General features: G+C 40.8%; 1 protein-coding gene across 13 annotated transcripts in view, besides 2 other annotated features; it reads left to right on the top strand.

Annotated features, from left to right (window-relative positions):
- The window catches only part of FOXO3 (forkhead box O3), a 124,950-nt gene that overhangs the window by 67,071 nt on the left and 35,342 nt on the right, over positions 1 to 22,537 (top strand). For 4 of the 13 annotated variants that reach the window (NM_001415140.1, NM_001415142.1, XM_017010585.2 and 1 more), the window contains one exon: positions 12,598 to 12,714. The exons of the other annotated variants lie outside the window; for them this stretch is intronic. In NM_001415140.1, the coding sequence (NP_001402069.1) occupies positions 12,661 to 12,714 (54 nt within the window). In that variant the 5' untranslated portion in view covers positions 12,598 to 12,660. The remainder of the gene's footprint in view (positions 1 to 12,597; positions 12,715 to 22,537) is intronic. 13 annotated transcript variants of the gene reach the window in all.
- Positions 12,102 to 12,603: an enhancer, noted in NCBI's record as "OCT4 hESC enhancer chr6:108960200-108960701 (GRCh37/hg19 assembly coordinates)". NCBI's record gives its function as "activates a minimal SCP1, AML or CMV promoter by ChIP-STARR-seq in primed H9 embryonic stem cells {active_cell/tissue: H9 hESC(primed)}" and the evidence as "EXISTENCE:reporter gene assay evidence [ECO:0000049][PMID:30033119]".
- Positions 19,331 to 19,625: a silencer, noted in NCBI's record as "tiled region #11562; K562 Repressive non-DNase unmatched - State 23:Low". NCBI's record gives its function as "represses a minimal TATA promoter and a strong SV40 promoter by Sharpr-MPRA in K562 cells {active_cell/tissue: K562}" and the evidence as "EXISTENCE:reporter gene assay evidence [ECO:0000049][PMID:27701403]".

Genomic DNA, 22,537 nt, shown 5'->3' on the forward strand with positions numbered 1-22,537 from the left:
GAAAAGGTTGGATGAGCTAGCTAAAGGGCTTGTTTTTTATCCTGTAGGGCAGGAGTGGTTGTAGATGCCCTCTCATGTGCTGACATACTGATTGATGGTGGCTTCTAAGGTCTCTCCTGAGTCTAGTAGGAGGCAGGCTTCCTAACTGTCATGGACACCAGGCAGGCAGGTAGGGGAATGAAGCAAGATTTGGCAGCGCAGCTGCTGTGAGTTTGCTCTCCAGTGGCTTGGAAATGGGAAGTTAAGGATTCTGATCTTATGTGAGACCATTTTCAGACTGTCCTAGTCTGCCCTCACATATCCCTGGAATGGACACATACAGGCTGGTCAGGGCTTTCTTGGGGCACTGAGGTGGGAGAAGCTGGAGGCCTGGGCAGGGTAGTGGAACTGAGAGTGAGAAGCCCCCTACACTTGGATCTCTTGCGTATCACACGAGACTCATTTATTGATGACTGCCTAGCTGGCTCATAATACTGATGGCTGAATGGGGGTATGAAAACTGGTCCTCAAGAGTATCCAGTCTTATTGGAGGAATAATGCAAAAACAAACAAACAAAAAAGGATAAAATAAAAGAAACAAAAGCCCAGGTGGTAAATTTTCCAGTCTTCTTGGAGAAGTAACACAGAAAAAAAGGTAAAATAAAAGAAACAAAAGCCCAGGTAGTCATTTTGCAGTAGAGCTCAGTGACTAAGGGCAGAGTACCTTGCAGAGGTGTTCAGTATTTTGGCTTCCCTGGGCCACACTGGAAGAATTGTCTTGGGGCACACATAAAATACACTAACACTAACAGTAGCTGATGAGCTAAAAAGAAAGAAATAGTAAAAAAAAAAATCCCATAATGCTTTAAGAAACTTTACAAATTTGTCTTGGGCCACATTCAAAGCCATCCTAGGCTGCGGGTTGGACAAGCTTGGTTTAAATCCTCTGCTTAACAGCTGTGTGACCCTGGGCAGGTGACTCAGTGACTTCTTCCATTGGTTTGCTGGTCTGTTAGAGTATCACGTACTTTATAGGGCTGTTGTGAGAATTAAATGAGTCAGTATATGCATATTTAAGGTACTTAGAGCAGAGTTTGGCATGTAGTAAGTGCCAGATAATTATATATAATTATTATTTTGGAGATAGAGTCCCTAAGCCTGTTTTGTCTTTGAAATAAGAACTTCATAGCATTGTGCAGGTTTAGTGAAGTAATGTTGGTAAAAGCATCTGGAAAAAAGCCTGGCAGAGACCAAGTGCTCAATAACCAGTAGTTGTTATCATTCTTATCATTTAATACTTACCCATTGGTGTGAGTTTATTTGGTTCTCCCTCCACAGAGATAGGGGAAGAAATAATGTATTTTAGCCATCGATTTTTGCTTTTGGTTTCAGAATCCAGTTTTGAAAACAAAATGTGTTTGTTAACAGGCTGCTCCTTTGCCAAGAAAAATGACAAAATTACCTCCATGTACTCTTCTCTCCTCCCCCAAAAGCCCTGTATGAGTGTGTCTCTGGCTGCGCATATTTAAGTATTAACTGAGATAAAGCATGAGCTCAGCAGGGGCTTTCTAATGGCTAATCCACAGTAACCCATTTAAAAAATCTTTTTCTCCACACAAGAAAAAGAACTAGTAGGGAAAGGACATTTTGGTGGTTGTTTGAAAGAAGTGTCACTCGGGTATTTGGGGGAGGAAGAGTGGTGTCTCACCATTGAGTTTTTTGTTTGGTGGATGCCTCTTTTCCAGGTCCAGTTGCTGAATCCAGGACATGGAGTGGAGACAGGGAGTGGGTAGGAGGTGCCATCAAAGTTCTAAGCAAGTTCAGCAGTGTTGAAAGAATTTAAACCCACTCTGCAGCCGGGTTATAGCTAGACAGTACTCTACCCTGGGATAGTGTGGAGAGGACATCCTTTCCCATTAGGCACTGACAGCCCAAGACAAAAAATGGGAAGAATCTTGGGTGGGTGAAAACACTTTACACAATAAGTTCTTGGTGGTCTCCTGACCTCTAGGGACCTCTGAACTTCTGGAGTTAAGATGAAGGCATGGACAGTCTTTTTTTGCGAAGTGTCATGTAGCAACAGAGTTTGGGCTTTAGAATCTGACAGACCTGGGCTCTAGGGAAACCTCCTTAGGAGCTTACTGGCTGAAATCGAGCAAGTTCTGTAACCTCTCTCTGCCTCCATTTTTCACAGGTAAATCCTAGTCGAGGATTAAGTTGAAGCTATGTATATTAAGTGCTTAGCATAGTTCCTAGCAAAAAGTAAATTTAAAATGATCTGTTACTATTAGTGGTGGTGGCGGTGTGGTGATCACCAGCAACAGTCAGAGGGTGGTGGACCAAGGAGGAAGCAGACAGCATTCTTAAGAGAGATGGAAATTGCCCTCTACATTATAGAGGACCCATCTGAGACCATCTCCCAGTTCAGTTCTGTAGGAAAGGCAGGTAAGATTGAGAATAAGGGTTGTGTAATTTTCGGGTGCCTTCTTCCTCTGGGGCTCTTAAGATCTGAGCACAGTGGATTCAAGTAAGGTAAGGAAAGACTACCAGTAGGGAGAGGTCTGGTAGTTAGGGGTGTCAGTTTAGCGGGAGGTTTTTTGTTTGCTATTTTTTTCTTTTTGTCTTAGACACTATGTTGAACTTTTTTGGAGTTGTGAAGTCAAAGGATGATAATATTGTAAGCAAATATTCTCTTTTCAGAAAGGATTAGGAGCAGGTAAAAACTTTAGTTAGCTGATATTTTTGCTTTATAGTAAAACCTCTCCGGCAGAATTATTTTATAATCTTTTTTTTAACACCTTTTTTTTTCTGACAGGAGATATTAAGTAAGAAAGGTATCTACTTTGTATGTGTTGTTCTCTGGCTTTTTATGAATAAAGTATTACTTGTCTTTAAGCATCTCTGATAGGAATTTAGATAATAAGCCAGTGAAATATTTTTCCTCCATAAATTCCTGTGGCCTTGATGGTGAACCTGTGATCAAAATATTAGAAATACTGACTCTGAAATTGATTCAGATACATTTGCTTGGTTATATAAATTCTGTACTTTTGGCCCTGAAATAGAAAAAGCCTACTTGAAGCTTTGGGGACCTTCTTACTACTTCCAGGTCATCCTCGAAGGTCTTAAAATGTTTTTAAACATGACCAGTTCTTTTCTACTATATTGGTCTAAACTCTATGTTGCTCCTTCCTGAGAGAAGATAGTTTCCTCTGGTTTTGTCTAGACCACAAGTGGCTTCAGAGAAACAGGCTTCTAGGTATAGCATGGAAAGGGGAAGATCTGGTGGATAAGGAAGGTTTTAGATGACACAAGTAATACTGGGGACAACTGTGGAACAAAGAGTGAGAAAGGTATGAAGAGGAGGGTACAAGGAAGGCAGAAACAGGGAAGAGCAGGCCGGAAGAGAGAGAAGGGAAGAAGGCAGAATGTTGAAAATGGGGAATAAGGAGCAATCTTGAGAGGACAGAGAGGGTGTTAGGTAGGAGTAGAGGGGGATAAGTGGTAAAGAGAGACTGCGTTAGACTGGTGAGTGAGGAGGCAGTGCCTGAGGTATGTCTTTGTGGCTGTGAGACTTTCAAGGGAATTTGAACATTTGAGGTGGCTAGGGTAGTATTGCGGACCTGGCTGCTCAAGGGAGCTGTTGAACATTTGTATGTAGTGATATCACCTGAACTTTTGTGCTTTGGAGTGGGAGGAAGTAGTAGAAGGAAGCTTTGCCTATCCTTTTATGTTAACTTTCTTGTGATCTTGTGAGGAGGCCTGTCCTTGTTGAGTCATTTAGTTCTACCAGTCTACCTCCTTTCTCTAAGTTGTCTCAACTCGTGCATAAGTCTTACCACTTCTCTCTATAACTAACTCTTTGCAACATGTTTTGCTTTAAGTATTTTTAAAAAAAAGCTTTTTAAGGGAAGAAGGAAAAACTATATTAGACCTTCTCAAACTCTGCTGCCCTTTCTTCCTATTTTCTCTCTTTGCCACCAAGGGTTGTTGTACTCCTTCTCAACCAGTCATTACCGAAAGGCTATTAATTAATTGATTAGAATGCAAAAAATAATCTTGGGCTTTGGGTTCCTTTATTGCCTTTCATTCCATAGGGAGTTTTTTCTTTTTGTTTAACATGTATAAATGTCTAAGCCTATTTATTGTAGACATTTTATAGTAGTTTTTCTAAAATGTATTAAATTATACTGCTTTCTTAAACTAAGTCTGGAACTTACTTTATCATCATGAACCATCAGTGTTTTCCAAATCAACTGGTTTTCAGAAGACTGAGGTGGTTAGGATTGTGAGTACATTTACTCATATTCATTTGAGTGTGTTTTATGTAGATGGGCACCTGGGGAAATAGTGGCAAGCAAGACAGACACTGTCTCTGCATGTTGGAATTTAGTCTGTAAAGTCTGAATGGTGATGATCTGGACCAGCATAGTGTGGAAGGTACTGGTCTGTGTTCTGGATGATTTAGGTTACCATGCCATCTCCAGATAAATGGAGTATTGCTGTTTAGGGCCCTGACTTATACACTTGGTCATTTCCACCTCTGGTCTACAGTTGCCTACCCCGCAATCCATATGCAATTCTGCATATGGCTTTATTTTCTAGGAGGTGGAGGGAGGAAAAGAGGTGAGGATTTGCGTGAAGACAAGCTAGTGTTGGTCCAGGTTTTTTCTGCTTTCTCAATTATCCTATAATCTTTGAAAACACATTGGTTTTTTTTTCTCTCTTGACATTTTTCCCCCCTTTCCTCTCGTGAGGACTTTAAAGCAAATCCCAGGCTTCAGATATTTCACTTCTGTATACTTCAGTGTGCACAGAATAACATGGGCATATGCTTACCTGACCAGGGTCATTATCACACCTAACTGTAGGTACTGTATTTTGTTGTATAACCTAATGCCCATTGTATAATTTTAAAAATTTCTCCCTTGTACAAAATAACTGTTCTTTATGGTTTTGTTAGAATCAGGATTCACATGTGACATTTGGATATTATGTCTCTTAATCAAGGGCCATTCCCTGCTCCACCCCTCCCCCCTTTTTCCATGCCAATGACTTGTTGCAGAAACTGGGTCAGTTGTCCTGCAGAATGTCCCACATTCTGGATATATCTGTTTTCTTGTGTTGTCATTATCTGGTTCCTCTATCGCCTGAATTTCCTGAAACTGGAAATTAACTCTAGAGGCTTGATTAAACTCAGGTTCAGCCTTCTTAGTTGGGTAGTGCTGTGTGCTTCACATTGTATCACACCAGGGAAAACCTCCTTAATTTAAGTAAAAATAAAAAATATTAGTGAGCACTGAGTTTGTTTTAGATGCGGTGCTAGGCGCTATGGGGTCTACAGAGATTAGCAAAGTGTAATCCCAGCTGCCTTAAATTTGTTTTTGGAAGCAGACCATGAACAACAGCATGACAGAGGATAAGTAAGGGGTAGCTGGGGAACAGGAGAGGTCAACAGCCAGTTTCTCTGTATCTGAGAGACTGCCCACGAAGCCTGTGGCATTTTAGCAGTCTGAAAAAATTAATACAGAAATGTAATACTTTACCATATAATAGCAACTATGCTCTTTTCTAAAACTAGTTTTATCTCACATAATTCTTGAGTAATTTCTCTTTCTCCCCTAACCCACTGTGCGTTGCATTATTTGAGGCACCATGATATGGCTGCAGATGCCTTTTCGTGCACCTGGGTCAGGATGGGACCTGCGGAAATCCCTCCTCCTTCCCATATTTAGACAGTGAGACATACCAAAGGCAAGTGAAGCACATGGTAATAGAGAAAGCTGGCACTACGTTTGAGCTAGTGATCTGCTGGTGTCAACTGGCAGTGTTTTTTCAGGTCATCCTGCTTGACCCTTATAGATGTAGAGAAGCCAAGTACAGTGTAGAAAACGTCAACTTCCTGGTGGTCACCTAAGTATTTTTTTCCCCTTCTTTTGGAGGGGTATATGGAGAGATTTCTACTTTACCAAGAATGAAGCTGGAACTTTAAATGGTTTATGTGTGTTTTATAAAACTTTTTAAAAACTTGCAAAATCATATGTTAGTATATTACAGTTTTTACTTGTGTCTTGTCTGCCCAGTTGCCACCACTTGTAAATTTTTTTTTTCCATAAGCAAGTAAAAGTTCAGCTGGAAGATATCTTCTTAATTGAGGGTTCAAAAGCCAGGAATTTAAGCAAAAGAGGAAATTCTTCTCAATATTCAAAATACAAAAACTCTAAGGAGCATCTTGTTGACTGGTATATTTTAGCATTGAGCATAGTGCTTGATACTCAGTGCTCCATAAATACTGATTGGATAAATAAAATGAGATGTAGAGGCAGTAGTGTTTATTCTCATTTATAAATTAGAAGTAAACAATGTGATCACAGTGAAAAATCCTTAGCCTGCTTTGGATAAGAACTTTCACTCGTGCACTAGAGAGAGAGGGAATGTGGGTATGAAAGTGTGTGTGTGTATGTGTGTGTGTTTGTGGCATTGGCAAATAGAAGAGAAGGATTTGTCTTATCTGCTGATTTAAAAAAAAAGATTTTATGTTTATTATCAAGAATGTAGCACTTAAGATATATGCAACTTAAAAAAACTACTGAGTAAAATTCTGGGTTTTGTCCTTGAAAGAAAAGTGGCATTTCCTGCATGAAAAACAGTTTCTATTATAAATGACAAAAAATTGTTAGGGAGCCAAGCTTTGATGCATTTACTACATGAAGGTCAAATACTTAGGTCATTATAATTCTGCCCCCTTTTGTGCATGCAGTACAATGAAGCTCTTTGACATGGTGCTAGCACATTCTCAAGATGAAGGAAGGTCACGTGTTTTCAGGCATTAAGAGCATGATCTACTCTTTTTTGGTTCCCTGTTATAAGTGGCTGTTGAGGGTAAAGTTGAGGGGAGAAACTGGACTAATGAATGGCTTTTGTCTACCTTTGTACTATTTTTTACTTTTCTTGCACAGAAGTCAATTAAAAAAAAAAAAAAGTTAAAAAGCTGAGAACCAATTGCCCAGAGCAATCCACAGGCAACCTTCAGTCTGGCTCAGTTACCCAGATTTATATCACATACTTGCTAGCAGAGTTTTGATTGCCGCCAAACCTCAAATGAATGTGTGGCTTCTTTACATGGAACTGGTCCTTTTGTTAAGGAGGCCTTGTGAGTTATTATATGGGCCTTGGAGCCAGTTCATCTGGGTCCAATATGTGGTTTCATTTATTGGCTATTGGCCTTGGAGGAATTATTTAACTCCACTGTGCCACAGTTTCCTCATCTGTAAAATGAGTTAATTTGCAACAGGAGGCATGAAAGAAAAATGCCTGGCATAAACAAAGCACTTGGTAAACATCAGCAACTGCTGACGTGTGTGCGTGTGAATTTATCAAGAGATGCAGTTCAGGTATTGAGTATATAAAGGAGGGTGAAGATGGGGTTTCTATGTGATGAGGATATTATCTTGGGTGGCGCAAGGTTTCAGAGATAAGAATCTGACCTGGGATTGAAGGTAGTGGGCAATGGAAAGGGTCAGGGATGATGACCCCCTTCCCTGCTCCAAATTCACTGGGAAAGGAGAAACTCACACTCAGACTACTGGGCCTGACTACAGCTGGCATTCCTCTTTGCCTGTTTGATCCATCTGCTAATGATTTGAGCCATAATATCTAGGGTGCTTGAGGTTGTGTACTTGGGTCCTTCCTTCCCCCTTCTGCCTTGGCTTCTCTTTAGAAAGCCAACTCCAACAGGCATGAGACCTTTAAACTTTTTGCACGTATGGGATTTGTTTCAGAGTGATTAGAGGGTCAGGAGGGGAATGAGTGGGTAGGGGATAGATGTGAATCTTAATACAGATAAGATGGATCATGAGGCTGGATGATGAGTACATGGGGGTGGGTTTATTATAACAGTCTTTCTACTTCTGCATATATTTGAAACTTAAGAATAAATATTTTTTAAAGTTAAGCAAAAAATGCAAGTATATAACAATATGGATGGTATACCTTTTATATAAAGTTTAAAAATATGCGAGCAGTATTATGTATTTTATATATAATGTTTTTGTATTTTATATATAAGGTATTGATATATACATTGTGTGCATGTATATATATATTCATATAAGAATTTAAAATTTTATAAAATAATAAATATGGCGGGCATGGTGGCTCACACCTGTAATCCCAGCACTTTGGGAGGCTGAGGCAGGCAGATAACACTTGAGGCCAGAAGTTCAAGACCAGTCTGGCCAACATGGCAAAACCTCATCTCTACTAAAAATACAAAAATTAGCTGGGTGTGGTGGCAGGCGCCTGTAATCCCAGTTACTTGGAAGGCTGAGGCATGAGAATTTCTTGAACCCGGGAGGTTGCAGTGAGCGGAGATCACACCACTGTACTGTGGCCTGGGCAACAGAGCAAGACTCCATCTCAAAAAAAAATAATAATAATAATAAATACTAGCTTTGGGATAGTGGTCGTGGTTGCTTCTGAGAAAGGTAGAAAAGAGATGGAATGAGGAGAGGGAATACGAAGGGTATTTCACCTGTATCTGGAATATTTTGCTTCGTTAAAATTTTTTGAAGCAAATACGGCACAATACTAAGATTTGCTAAAGTCGAGCAGTGGGTACACAGGTGTTTGTTATATTCTGTGTAATTTTGTTTGTTTTAAATGTGTCACAAAAAGAATAAAATGTCATGATTCTATAACAAGAAGTGTCTTTAGACATGTCAGGAGCTGAGCTGCAGGAGGTGCTGGGAGGTGCCTTGCCTTTCTGCTAGAGAGGCACATCCTGTCATAGCATTGCACCTTGCAGCAGGGGTGGCGAAACGATTGGCCACTTGTACAGTTGCATAATGGGGGAAGCCCTCGTGGTTAGTAGAGGTGGATGGTGGTAAGTAAGGCTGTGTGAATTACAGGCAGTTAGATACAGCAGAATTCATGTTTTCTGGACCATGCTGACCTACTGCCTCTGTCAGAGGGATTGGGCTGGGTTATGAATGATGAGTTGGTTACGATGACTGGAGGAAGATTTTTAGAAAGCACAGCTTTTGTGTATAAGAACTAGTTTCCTTGATAAGACTTCTCAGAAAAAAAGAAAGCTGTTTCTACTCTGGATTGGTTGTGTGGTAATCTTGTCAGTCTTCCCGCACAAAGCGGGATTAAGCTTGTCACTCCTCAGCTAGGGAAGCAAGCCCTCCATCTGGGGAGTGAGAAGACAGATTGTTCTGAGGGCTGGGTTCATGGGCTGCTTCTGAAATGTGACTAGCACCTCTGTGCCTCTGCCTGCTTCTGGGGAGGAAGACCTGGAGATTGAAGTGATCCTTGTGCCCAGGTCCCAGTCTGTGTGTTACCTAGTGTATCGATGTTGTTCATAGATGTTGGGGGTGGTGAGCTTGTGCAGTATGCACACATCAAGTGTTAGTTTGATCTCACAGAGAATACAGATGTCAGATGTCCACTTCTTTGGCATTTATTCACTAGATCTCTAAACAGGAGATCACTGTTTCGTATGCTCTAGAGAGCTCATTTAGCTGAGGGGAAGGGTAAACCCAGCATCCTTACAGGTTAAACCTTCGGGAATAGAACAAACCCTGTGTGTTGAGCCCAGTGGAACTGGGCTGGGGTGGGGGGTGCATGAGGCAAGAGACCAAGCATCTTAGAGTGTTTTTTCAGCACTCACATGCTAGTATCCTAGATTCTCAGGAAGGCGGTGACTAGACCAGACCAGCCCTTCACCACTTCACCACTGTGCATCCTGGGAAGTGGCCTCCTCCTTTAAATAGGGATGGAGGTCTCCAGGGTGTGCTCTGGAAGTTTGTGAGGATGAGGATCAGAGAATAAGGGACCTTCCTTTGACATATGCCAGGTGAGAAACCACAGGAAGCAAAGACCACCCAGCCTAGCAGCCACTCACAAGTGCTGTGTTCTGGAGAAGGACTTCATGTTCTGTGTCCATCCAGCCTGATTTGCATCCCTGGAAGAATTTGAGAGGTTACAGGACCCTGGCACCTGGGCAGCTCTGCAACATCCTCCCAGGTGGTCCCACTGAAGCACCTCTATTTAAATCCCCCTGTTCCGAATAAGGAGGCTGTGTAAATGGACCTGCAGATCTTTCTGACATGTAGGAATGGACTGGGAGAGATGCAGACTTCTGCAGAGGGAGAGAGTTTCTGGGCATTGAGCAGCAACATTGCCTCTGTCCTTCATTTTAGTTTACAACTTTATATCTTCCCTTAATGAGGTTTTCCGCAGCTGTGAAAGAAATAAAATAAATTGAGGTATTGAGAGAACACATAGAAAGTGGAGAGGCTATTTTTCTGTTACCTGTTTTTGTCTTCCTTAATTGTCTAGTTTAGCACCACTTGAAAAAATTGCGTTACATTTAAGTTTGATGAGCTCCTTGTGAACATGTGAATCAGTAGTTTCTCGAGGTGCTGCTGGGTTCGGTGACACAATACAGAACACAAAGCCAGAAACCAGCCTAGAAACCAGACAGAGGGCTTTGTCCCAGAGTCCTGCTTAACCTTATTACAGCTAAGTGTCGAAATCCAGCCCGTGGTTCTCCCCCAGAATACTGGGGGGCAAATCTCGTTCAATAATAGAAAGGTATGGTTAGCCTCTGAGTGTTTTATGGGTGTGTATATAAAAGCAGTATTAGATGAGTTAAGCCTATGCAGGTTTATTATACATATCAGACTCCTGATAATGATAGAATAATGAGTTCATTTTCTAGAGTCGTGATTCTGGAAGACTTTATTTCCACCAAGAATTTCCTTAGTGTCTGTCTTTCCCCCGGATGTTTTCTCCCTGCCTCAGAGTCAGCAGTGCATCCTCTCCTCATGGCCTGGCTTTGCCTCTTCCCCCTTTTGGTCTCTTCTCTAGTAGCTTTTTGGTTTTCTTCCCCTGTAGTTAATATTGTCCTCATTTAAAATTTTTTTCCCTTCAGTTGATAAAATGTTCAAATTTTGTGACATATTTTAGAAGGTAGCCATTTATCAAAAAGAACATCTTGAAATCCTCAGGAGTATTAATGACAGTTTAATGTGTTAAAAATACATATATTCAATGTTAAATCAGTAGAACAGGAAAGAAAATTGTGTTTCCAAATTTGTGAAATAAATATACTTAGAAGAAAAAAATGAAAACAAAATATAAAAATGTCAAAATGGTTAAGTTAGGGTAATTAGAATATGAGTAACTTTTTACCCTGTTTTTCTCATTTTCAGTAATGTCATTATATGCATGCTTGCGTGTTTCCCCTGCATACATCCCTATGGCATTTTGAGATGAATGGGACAGGAGAGTATAAAGAAGAAGTGGGTGTGGAGGAGTCATTTTCAGATGCAGTCCTAAGAAACCCCACAGACTCTTGGTAGGGGGGCCTGAGGGCCCTGGACCTTGTGTCCCCCTTTAACCAGAGCTTGTCCACTTTTCATTTGCTATGCCTATCAAGGTTTGTCCAAGATTTCATTTGGGAAGAGGATTCTGCTACTAAATACAAGGTTTGAAAACTTTACAGAGAAAAGAGAACACATTGGGATCAGAGGTAGGAAGTGTGGGTCCTGACCCAGCCTTTAACTAGCAGTGTGTCTCTATGTCCAAGGCACTTTAGCTCTCTGGACACCAGTGTTTTCATTTCTAAAATGATGGGCTTGAGCTAGTGGATAAGCTGAAGGTCCCCTACAGCTTTGACATTTTAGGATTCTATTCAAGTGGTGTCAAAAAATAAGTAACTCCAGGAAAAGAAGTTTGTGATTCCCAGCCTTCTCCCACTGCCCCAGCAGTTTTCAAGGCACCTGGAGGACAACAGACGACTTGGGCAAGCATCGCATTGTGGAATTTTTGCTTTTTTACCTTGCAGTTTGTTTTCTGTTCGTATTGTGTAGTTAGGACAAGGAGCAATAAGACCCAACACAACAAGGTATAGAGCTGTTTTAAGACGATTTACTGTTTTTAGGTTAGAGGTCTAGATTCTTTGGAAAAAGTGAATGGTGATTTCTCTCATCCTCAAGTTATTCCTGAAGTTCTGTTAATAAAATCTACAGTCAGAAAAGTGGCACCGTGTCCTGCCTAATGGTGTTCGGGGTGTCCTTTCCACAGGCCATCCAGAGTCCTTTTCCACTGCGGTGTCAGCACTGTCTAGATGGCCGTCCTTGGGAGGCTGGGCTCCCTCTGGACAAACAGGCCTATAACAGGAGACTTTTCACGTTAATGGACCCAGAGGAAAGATAACCTCAGGATCTATCCCTTTTCACTGGAGACACCTGGAGGCCTGGCACCAGTTTGCTTCTCTGACCTGAAAATAGAGCATTCTCCTTTCTGGCCCTGCCTCCCACTGGGTGAGAGAAGAGCACTGGGTGGGTGAGGCTAAATCCTGCTTCCTTTCATATGCAAAGCATAATCTCTTTCCTGGACCTCTTTGGGCACTGAAACAAGAACTCCACTAGCTGCCACACTGTCCAAGCATTTAGCTTTTTGACTTTTGGGGAAAGCTTTTATTTCCAGGTACCTAAAGTGTGTGGCATTGTAAATAAAGTCAGAAGCTCAGTTTGTTGGTCACAAATACATTGGACAGAAATGAAAGAAAGCCAATAAGACCATGTTCTTTCTGTGCTTTGCCCTCAGAACGCATTCCCTGGGATGAAAAACCCTGCTCAAGCCTGGGTACAGTGACCCAAGGTGACAGCAATGACAGTGGCCCTTCAGAAAGGAGCAAGTGGAGGTGGACCCTGCCTCAAACAGGTTTGGTTTGCTCCTGGTTGAGCTTAGCCCAAACCTCCCCCTGCTGAAAATAAATAAATAAAATCCAGATACTGCAACTACTTACGCACCTTCCTTTTCTATTTAATTTCAATAAATTGTGGACTAATTCTTCCTAAAAGTACATATCAATTAAGAAGACAAAACTTGAATGATCAATACATTGTGGTTTCGGCTGGTCCTATAGCATAACACTGTAGATTTTACTTTCTAAATATTTATTGAACACAATACTCTGTGAATCAAACTGAATCAATTACTGTGAGGTTCAGAAAGAACATAGAACTCACTCCTTGGTCTTTGATTTTACAGTCTCCTTGGAGGGGCAGAATCTAACAGAAAACCATACACCTGTGAGACAGAGACTAGTTCAAAACAGTAAAACATCGCATAAAAGACAGCTCTGTTTTTAAACATGGAGCACCTGCTCCCAGATGCAGAGGACCACAGCAGTGGTCCAAACAGGGTGGAGCCAGTCTTGCTGCAGGTAGTAGGTTTCACATCAGAATTTGGAGGAAGTGATGGGTGTGAGGAAGAGGAAGGAGGGGCAGTGCTCCCAGAGAAATTCCTTTCATTGGATAAGAAAGGTAGGGATGATATTGTGTGATAATAAGAGGGCTGTGGCACAGTAAGCCTTAGGGACAGTCTTGGACAGGGGAATTTTTCAGTTGTCGTAATTGGGGCAACAGTACATACAGGCTGAATTGAAATGGGGATCCCCACACCCACTCATTAGCCATGTGATCCCCCATGTAGTTTACTAACGTCAGGTCACTGAATGCTTTAACAGCAGTATACAATTTGGATCAGAGTTGATGAACTAAACTTTTACTAAGCACATACTTGTATTAAATAAATTCACAAAGATCTACATCATCATTGACAAAAATGTGAGCATTTCATATAAATACATGTGCATTATCTTGATGTTTAAAGTGTTTTTTTAATGCATCGTTTTCATTTGTGTGAACATTTTAGCATTTGTTTTATAGCTTGTTTAGGACATTTAGTCAATTTGAGGTTTTTGATACTTCACAATTTCATATGTACAATTAATAGATAGAAAATTTGGGTGATTAATCATACAGCTTATTATAGTAATGCCTTCTGGGCATCCTGACTTTGTACTGCTTTGATCTTGCCCTTTTATGTTGGGTTTTCTTAAAAAGTTAATGGATCCTATTCATTCATAGTTCATTCAACAAATATATATTTTGCCCTACTATGTGCTGGGCACAATTCTAGGAATTGAGCTCCCAGTTACTGATTTGGAAACTCAGTATTTCTTTCTTTTTTGTCTTTTTGAGACAGAGTCCCACTCTGTCGCCCAGGCTAGAGTGCAATGGCGCAATCTTGGCTCACTGCATCCTGTGTCTCCTAGGTTTGATTCTCATGCCTCAGCCTCCTGAATAGCTGGGGTTACAGGTGCACCCCACTACGCCCGGCTAATTTTTATATTTTTAGTAGAGACAGGGTTTCACCATGTTGGCCAGGCTGGTCTCAAACTCCTGACCTCAAGCGATCTGCCCACCTTGGCCTCCCAGAGTGCTGGGATTATAAGCGTTAGCCACCTTGACTGGCTGGAAACTCAATTATTTCAATATGAAGGGATTGTTGTAGCTAATTTTGATTTTCTTACTATGCCTTTAAACTTAAGTTACTGATTTTATTTAAAATATTTCATCATCAGTACAGAACCCAAACATTCTTACTAGTGCTTTTGAAAGAAATCAATTTAGTAAATTTGGCACATTGAATGTTGACAAGTTGGTCAGCTTCTCCCCACTCAGAGCCCTAAAGAACCTCTAGGGCTCCATAAACAGTTTGAAAACCACTGGGTCAGATAAACTCTAAAGCCTCTTACCATTGTAAAGCTCTGTCTCAACTTCTCTGTGCCATTTTTCTTTTGCATATTTAACTTATGGAATAATAAGGCAACTTATCCAGACAGAGTCGTGATGACTACTTGATACATATTTAAGGTATAATTCACCTTATTCCATTTTTAATATGTCTTTGCGTTCCCCTGGTGGTTTGGTTGCTCCCATAGCAAGCAGGATGGCATGTGAGGACTGCAGAATACCTGAACACCCCTTAAAATATAAGTATATGAGAGACATCCTCAAGCCTGTGGTGTATGTGGAGGGCTAGAATTGCCACAAAAAAAATACAGAAAAAAAGTACATTGTACAGTTAAAATCTCTTGTATTTTGCTTGTAAAGGAGAACATTTTACCTAAAATAGACTGTACTTTGAATACAAATGCTATTCATTGTATTAAGACCTGTCCATATAAATGAGTTAACTGGAAGATCATTCTGCATATTCTGTGTTGTGCATAGAATTTAGAAGAATGCAAGAATGCATGAGACTTGAAGCACAAAGCATTAATTCAAATTTTGAGAGCAGTACCCAGGTAAACAGTGAATAGTACAGGTCATTGAAGTTTTTTGCTTTTGGTGTTTTTTTTTTTTTTTTTGAGACAGGGTTTCACTGTGTGGACCAGGCTAGAGTACAGAGGCACGATCTCAACTTGTTGCAACCTCCCGTTCCCAGGCTCAAGCAATCCTCCCATCTCAGCCCTCCAAATAGCTGGGACTATAGGCACGCATTATCATGCTTGGCTAATTTTCAAAATTTTTTTGTAGAAATGAGGTCTCACTATATTGCCAAGACTGATATCAAACTCCTGGGCTCAAGTGATCCTCTATCCTTGACCTCCCAGAGTGCTGGTGTTACAGGTCTGAGCCACCATGCCCGTCCTGAAATTATAAGAAGTATACTTAAGAGAGTTTTTGGCAAGGGGGACTGCTGATAGCATAACATTAAATTGGGGGAGTGGCGTGGATCAGGATAATATGCAGGATAATATCCATATAAACAAGAAACTACAGAAAATAAGTAGCAAAATCTACAAAGGTTGTAGTTTAGAAGGTCAATTACGTATGTTTTTTCTGCTTCTCCACACTTGCCAGATGTTTAGAATAAGCATGTAATACTTTGATACTCAAGGAAAAGGTAAAGACTGAAAATAAAAAAAGTTCGGCAGCTCTCATCCAATTCAAGGCTAGCAAACGACAGGAGATTTTGAAAAATCAGAATGATGTGTGTATGGCAGTAGGTGCCCTCTAAATTACTTTAATACTATCACTGAGACTATCATTTTAACTCTTAACTTGCATTGTTTTGGACAGTTGCTGGGAGAGTCACAGGTAGGATAGTCTGATCCCTGTCCAGTTAGTGGTTCCATAAAGTCCAGTTAGTGGTTCCGTAAAGCTAATTCATTGTCAACTAATGTAACTTCAGCTTTTGTTGCTGCAGCTTGTTTCTGGTGTTTGCATACAGATTGAGCACATTTGCAAGAATCCAGAACATAATGTGTATTTCACATGATCAGATAAGTACATTTAAGCTTCTTAGCTAAAGAATTTCTATGGGTTACTCTTTACTTCCAAATCCAAAGAGACTAAATCATAAAATGTAAATAGACTTCTAAACTTTCATTTCCCCACCTTTTGGTACCTCCAGTTTTTGAATAGTGCTGTTCTACAGAGGGTGATTTCATTTTTAGTTCATTCTTGTAATTTTCATTTTTAGTTCATTCTTGTAATTTTACTGTGTAAACAATCAGTTCTTTGCCCATGCCCAGTTTGACCTTTTCAGACTTTAGTGCAAATTAAAACTGGCTGGAGGCAGAAGGGACAGGAAAGGACCTGGGGAATGAGGATGAGGGGACTAGTCAAGTACCTTAGGTTACTTAATGTTGCTTGTTTTGAACCTTGAGGTCACGTCAGAGAGGAGTGCTCACTCCTTCAAGTACCTAAGAAGTGTTCCAAAGTGAATGTGAAGTTAATGGGATTGCTAGGTTTTGAAAACAAGATGAGCAACACTCAGAAATCAACAACTGCTCTTCTATTTTGTTTTTGATTTTTGTTTGTTTGTGTTCCTGGTTATGGAATGAGAGGGCTGTTCAGTGGCAACCCAACAATTTCTTCTCTTTTGGTCAACTTTTCCTTTTTGACCAGAATGTAAGAGGAGAGTACAGATAGCAAGAATGATTGGTGTGTTTTGCTTCACCTTGTCCTTGCCCCAGCTATAGCAGTGTTGCCCACTAATTAACAGTGCTATCGTCCAGAGCTGAACTGCAGAAAGTTCAAGAGGAGTGAAGATCTGACCTTAGTGCAGAGTTCAGCTGTGTTTGCCCCTCAGATCATCTTTAGGATGGAATGATTTTCATGGTTCATTAATGAATAGTGGAGAAGCAAGTGGGAACTTATCAAAATCTGTATTCTAGAATGTACCATCCCCAAGATAGTAAGTATTTTTGCAAGATGGAAGGACTGTTCCTGTGGCCGTTGTTACCCAGTGTAGTCGTAGAGCCTGTAGGATTGTTTTGCCCCATTTTATGTCCCTCACTGGAAAAGGCCATCATGTGGCTTGAGGGTCAGGACAATGCCAGTGCCTGGCTATAGGCTCCAGATCCTGTTCCCTCTCCCTCTCTGAGGCCCTCACTGCGGCCCTCACTGCATCATGCTTAGGCCCTGGTGCAAACCTTTGAGTTCTCATCCATGTGGTCTTGGGCAGGTTTCTGCAAGCTTCAGTTTTCTCATCTGTAAAATGGGGACCATATTGTCCTCATTGTTGTGAAGACTTACAGAGATAGTACGTATGAAACACTTAGAACAGTGTTTAGTACCTCATATGCACTTAATAAATGTTAGCGTTTTTATTATTAGTAGTGATCCCTTGCTGGCATCTTTCCTGGCTTCTGTCCCTACCACTCCTTTGATACTGCTGTTGCCAAGGCAACTAGTGATAACCTCTTGTTGCCAAAGCTCATGGACACTCTGTTCTCCTCTCTTTCTGGATCTTTCAGTGGTGACTCCTTTCTCCTTGAAGCACTAAACTCTCCTGGGCACGATCGCCACACTCCCCTCCTGTCTGGTGGCTTCTGTTCTTTCTTTTGTCTGATCCCTGTTCTCTACCTGCCCTCATGTTGCATGACTCCCATGAGAAACTCTCAGGTTTTCTCTTCTCCATTTCCTCTCTAGGTACACCCATCCGCTCCATCCTCTCTAGGTAAACCCATCCCAGTGGCTTTCATTACTTAGTTGCTCCTCCTGCAGGTCTTAAGTCTTTCCTGACTTTCCAGTCTGTCTTAGGTACACCCAGCTGACCTTGTTATTTTCTCTTATGGTATCCTGTTGTTTTCCTTCAGAGCACTTTTCACAATTTGTAATTATGTATGTATTTGTTTGCTTTAATTAATGTCTGTCCCTTACCTCCCTCTCACTCCACAAAATTATAAAATCTATGAATGAGACCAGGGACCATGTCTGTCTGTTCACTCACATTTGTATGCCTGGTGCATGGAAGGACCTCAGCAAATACCAATTTGAATGACTGAACCTGCGGCCTCTCCAGTTCTTCCACCACCACTCTGGCCCTGATGTTATATGATATTAAATGTTAATAAAAATAACTTTTATTTTTTAGATTTGATGCTCTGGGCTTGAGTGGAGACTGCCTTACTTTCTGTTCATTTCGTGTTACTCCAAAGTTAGAAAAGCATAAACTTAACCAAGTTACAATATCCTGGTATGTTGTGGATAATCTGTGCTCACTGGCTGTTGATGTTATTTTCTGATAGTTTTGTGAAAATTGTTGCTAAGGCATTGGCCCAGACAAAATTCCCATGATTGGTAGAAATAACCCTATATATTCTGTTACCATTGAATTAATTCCCAGTAAATGGTAAGACCATATGTAAGCCTCTCTTCGAGCCTTCTTTCCCATGATTCATTTTTTTTGTCTTGAATCCCCAGAATTGCTTTTTTTTTTTTTTTCTTGAAATCCAGGTTGACCCAAAACAAGAAGTGTCAATAGCCTCATCATAATATAGCCTCTTAGCTATAAATGTATTAAGTCCCTATCCTTAATGGCCTCCACATGAGAACTTCTAAAACTTCAGGGCCAGGAGGATTACTGTTAGCCCTGCCAGTCGGCAACATTAGAAGATGATAGAACCCAGCACACATACAAGTCATTCACTGAAAAGCACTTTTAAAGTGCCTGATGACACATACATCAGGGTAGGTATAGAATATAGGCACATAAAAGTCTTTCTTGTTAGGTGTTTCTATTGCATTATCTTAACATGAACAGAAACCTCTAATTACCATTATTAATGCTTGGAATTTTATAATTTTTAAAAAATCTAATTTATACTAAAGTTGAGAGAGAGTGTGTGTATACACACAGAGATAACATGCAGGAGGGCATGTCAGTAAAATTAATTCCTAAAAATAGAATTGTTGAGTTATCAGGTAGGATTAGGTTTGGCTAATGGAAAACAAATTTAATAGTGAATTATTCTCATGTAAAAGAAGTCTAGGGCTTGTGTGGCCACTGTAAGAAGTGATTGATGCTCAGACTCCTCTTATTCTCTGCCCTCTCATCTCAGCAAGTGGCTTTCATCCTCAGGGTCTCCTCATGGTCCATCCGAATGGAGGCCAAAAGGAGGAAAAACAGCACGAATGAAGAGACTCATCTCTCACCTGAGTAGCTGCCTTTAAATAGTCTTGCATGGAACTCTTCCACTTCCATGTCATTCTATTTTCAAAGCTAAGTCACATAGCCACATCTAACTTCGAAGAAGGCTGAGGAATGTAGTCTTTTTGTCTGGGCCCAGCTAAAAATTGGCATTGTGTGAGTAATGAATAAGAGAAGAATGGAGTAGTCTGTTCTACTAAGTCAAAGGTTGTGTGCAGTATCAACAGATAGTGATAAACAGTCCTTCAAAAACTTTGCACCCACTTTAACACTTTCACCAACCAATCCAAATTTTTTTTTCCCAAATCTTAATTAAAAACAAAATGTCCTCTACTGCTGTATTTGAATTGTGTTGTCTTTTTGAAGCATGAGTATAACTTCTAATAGAACTTAATTTTCTATTCAGATTTTAAACTTCTAAATGCTTCTGAAGTTTAAGGCAGATAACCTAGTTTATTTAAGTTTGATAGTTTATTCCTGTGACTTCGATTGCTAAAGGTAGGTTTTCTTGGAGATGGGAAACCTGGGAAAAGAGAATGTGTACTTCTTTAGTGCTGGAAGAATGTCTGCTTCTTTCCTCCTGCATTTTATTGCAGATGCTAACCTTACTCAGCATGGTTTAGTTCAGAAGAGAAAATAAAGGGAGAATTCATTTATGCTTTCGAGAAAATGTGTTGAGTCTTCCACATGCCAGGCATCTCCAACATAAAAGAAAGAGATGTATCTCTTTTGCTATCTAACTCTTCCCACTTTCCTTCTTATGATCTGATGTGACTTCTCCATATCTTATGTACCTTCCCCCCAATAACAATTGTAATAATCATCACTAAGCGTAGTACTGCACAAAAGAGAGCTATCAGGTAAAAGGACAGAAAAACCACGGGAGTTTTAAAATGTCCAAGTAGTATTTAAATTTTAAACCTTACTTTTTTCTGTTTTTAAACCTCATATATGAATTTAGACAGACAAACTAAAACCTGTTTACTATAGTAAGAATACCTCACTGTAGCTTAAATTGGTGTTTTTAAAATGATGGCTTTGGCCAAATTCTTTGGCAGCTACCCTAGACTGGAAGCATTAAAAATTGATTACTTGCAAGTTGTTGCTAATAGTTCCTTATTTCTGCAGGCCTTGCCACTCAGCCCAAACTGGGGTCCCTGCATAATGTTTATTGTAGCTGGAGTGCTGTGCTGGTGTCCTGCTGCCTAAGTGGAGTGAGTTGACCCTAATTTACTCCTGGATGCCTGCATTCTTTTCCATGCATGTCCACAAATAGCATCACAGCAAATTAACAGAATTTTCTGATTGATGTAGGGAGAAACCAAAGAAGGCCTGTGTTTGGTGGCCAAAACACCACACAGTATGAGCAGAGTGGAACTACTGGCCCATTTTATAGCATTCTAATTGATAATTATCAAAGAGCACATTATTTGACCATGTGGCAACAATCCAGTATCATTTCAGAGGTACTAGACATGTAGATGTCCGTGAACACCATAGTGAATATACCCCCTCCTTTTGCCAAAATTGAAATAGGTTATCCAAGAGGAAAGGGGAGGGAAAAGAAAATACCAATTTCCTCTTTACAAAACTGTGGCAAATGAGATGTCATAAAATTCTGTATTTCATGATAAAGCCTCCTGGCTCATCATTAATAAGCTAGAAAATTAACTCTTTTTTTGGAAACTTGGAGAGAGTCTATAAATGTCATCGTATGTGTTTGCTGTTGGTTCACAGGCAATGCCTAGTCCATTTTCCTTCACAGAGATCTAAAGCTACTAAATACTGTCAGAAGAAAGAAGAAAATTTATGTGGGAGAGCTAAGTGGAAAGAGGAGGGAATCCTAGGTGTCTACATTCACGACACTTTACAACAGCAAAGTCACTGTGGCGAGGGGAGAGACCTGGAAGCACCTCTGCCAAGGTAAAATTGAGGGCAGTCCATAGACAAGTCGAAGAACTGAGGAGAAATGTTTCCTGGCCCAGGACTCCATAATGGAATCTGTCTGGACCCTGCAGAAACTCAGTACTGTTAGGACTGCCTTGAGATGAGGCAGCCCAGTTGTCAGGGAGATGGGAGTAGGAATGGACATAAGGTGTCTGTTCTTGTATTGGTGGAAGAGGAAGGTAAAAAGAAATAAACCTAAACCTGCTGCTCACTTAGCTCTATTTCCCACAAGCAAACCGCAACATTGAGTAACAGCTGAAAAAGATGGTGACTAATGTAGATGAAACACTGAAAATGACTCTCTGGGGGTCTTCTCACCCCTGCTCCCTTTGATTAATGGTTTATTGTCGTAAAGCCTTAAGGGTCGTTGGCAGAGCCAGGTCAGAGCATTCAGAGTGCTGGAGCCATGTATGTCTGCCTCTCTTGCTTTTTGTTTCTCATCCTATTATCTTGTATTCCTTCTTATTTTACATAGGAGAAGAGAAGAAAGATGGCTAGAGATGATCATTGCCCAATTTTATCTTTCATGGTTAAGGAAATAATCAGTTCACAAGCTAAAGCAGTGGACTGTCAAGAATGGCAAAGTGGCCAGGCACAGTGGCTCACACCTGTAATCCCAGCACTTTGGAAGGCTGAGGTAGGAGGTTCGCTTGAGGCCTGGAGTTTGAGACCAGCCTGGAAAACATAGTGAGACCCCATCTCTACAAAAAAAAATAAAAAATTAGTGAAGTGTAGGGGCGCACACCTGTGTTTCCAGCTTCTCAGGAAGCTGAGGTAGGAGGATCACTTGAGCCCAGGAGCTCAAGGCTGCAGTGAACTGTGGTTATACCACTGCACTCCAGTGCGTTCCAGCCTGGGTAACAGAGTGGGAACCTATCTCTTAAAAAAAAAAAAAAAAAAAAAAAAAGGACTACAAGTGTCTCAGATTTGCCCCTACCAGACGCCAAACTCTTGGGTCAGAGGCAAAGGGATCTGTTATTCTCTCATGGCACAGCAGCCAGCATGAGCAGTAGTCTATTTTGCATTGGTTCTTCCTTGCCCCCGAATCCCACAGGGGTGACATAGATAGGCCCAGGTTGATGGCTGCACATGTAGTGGGTTGTGCAGGAACCTTGAGCTTAGGGATCTTAAATCATTTGTAATAGGCAGTAAGTATGTCTGCCCTTTGCTCTGGAGGGAGACACTATGACTACCTTTCAAGGCTGCTCACTGTGCAGATGAAAGATAGTCCTACCTTGAAAGATAGTCTAGAACAAAGACCCGTCAGTACTTTGCTTGACAAAGCAAAGACATTCAGTAACACAAG

Source organism: Homo sapiens, chromosome 6 (genome assembly GCF_000001405.40).
Source record: "Homo sapiens chromosome 6, GRCh38.p14 Primary Assembly".
NCBI classification, from domain to species: Eukaryota; Metazoa; Chordata; class Mammalia; order Primates; family Hominidae; genus Homo; species Homo sapiens.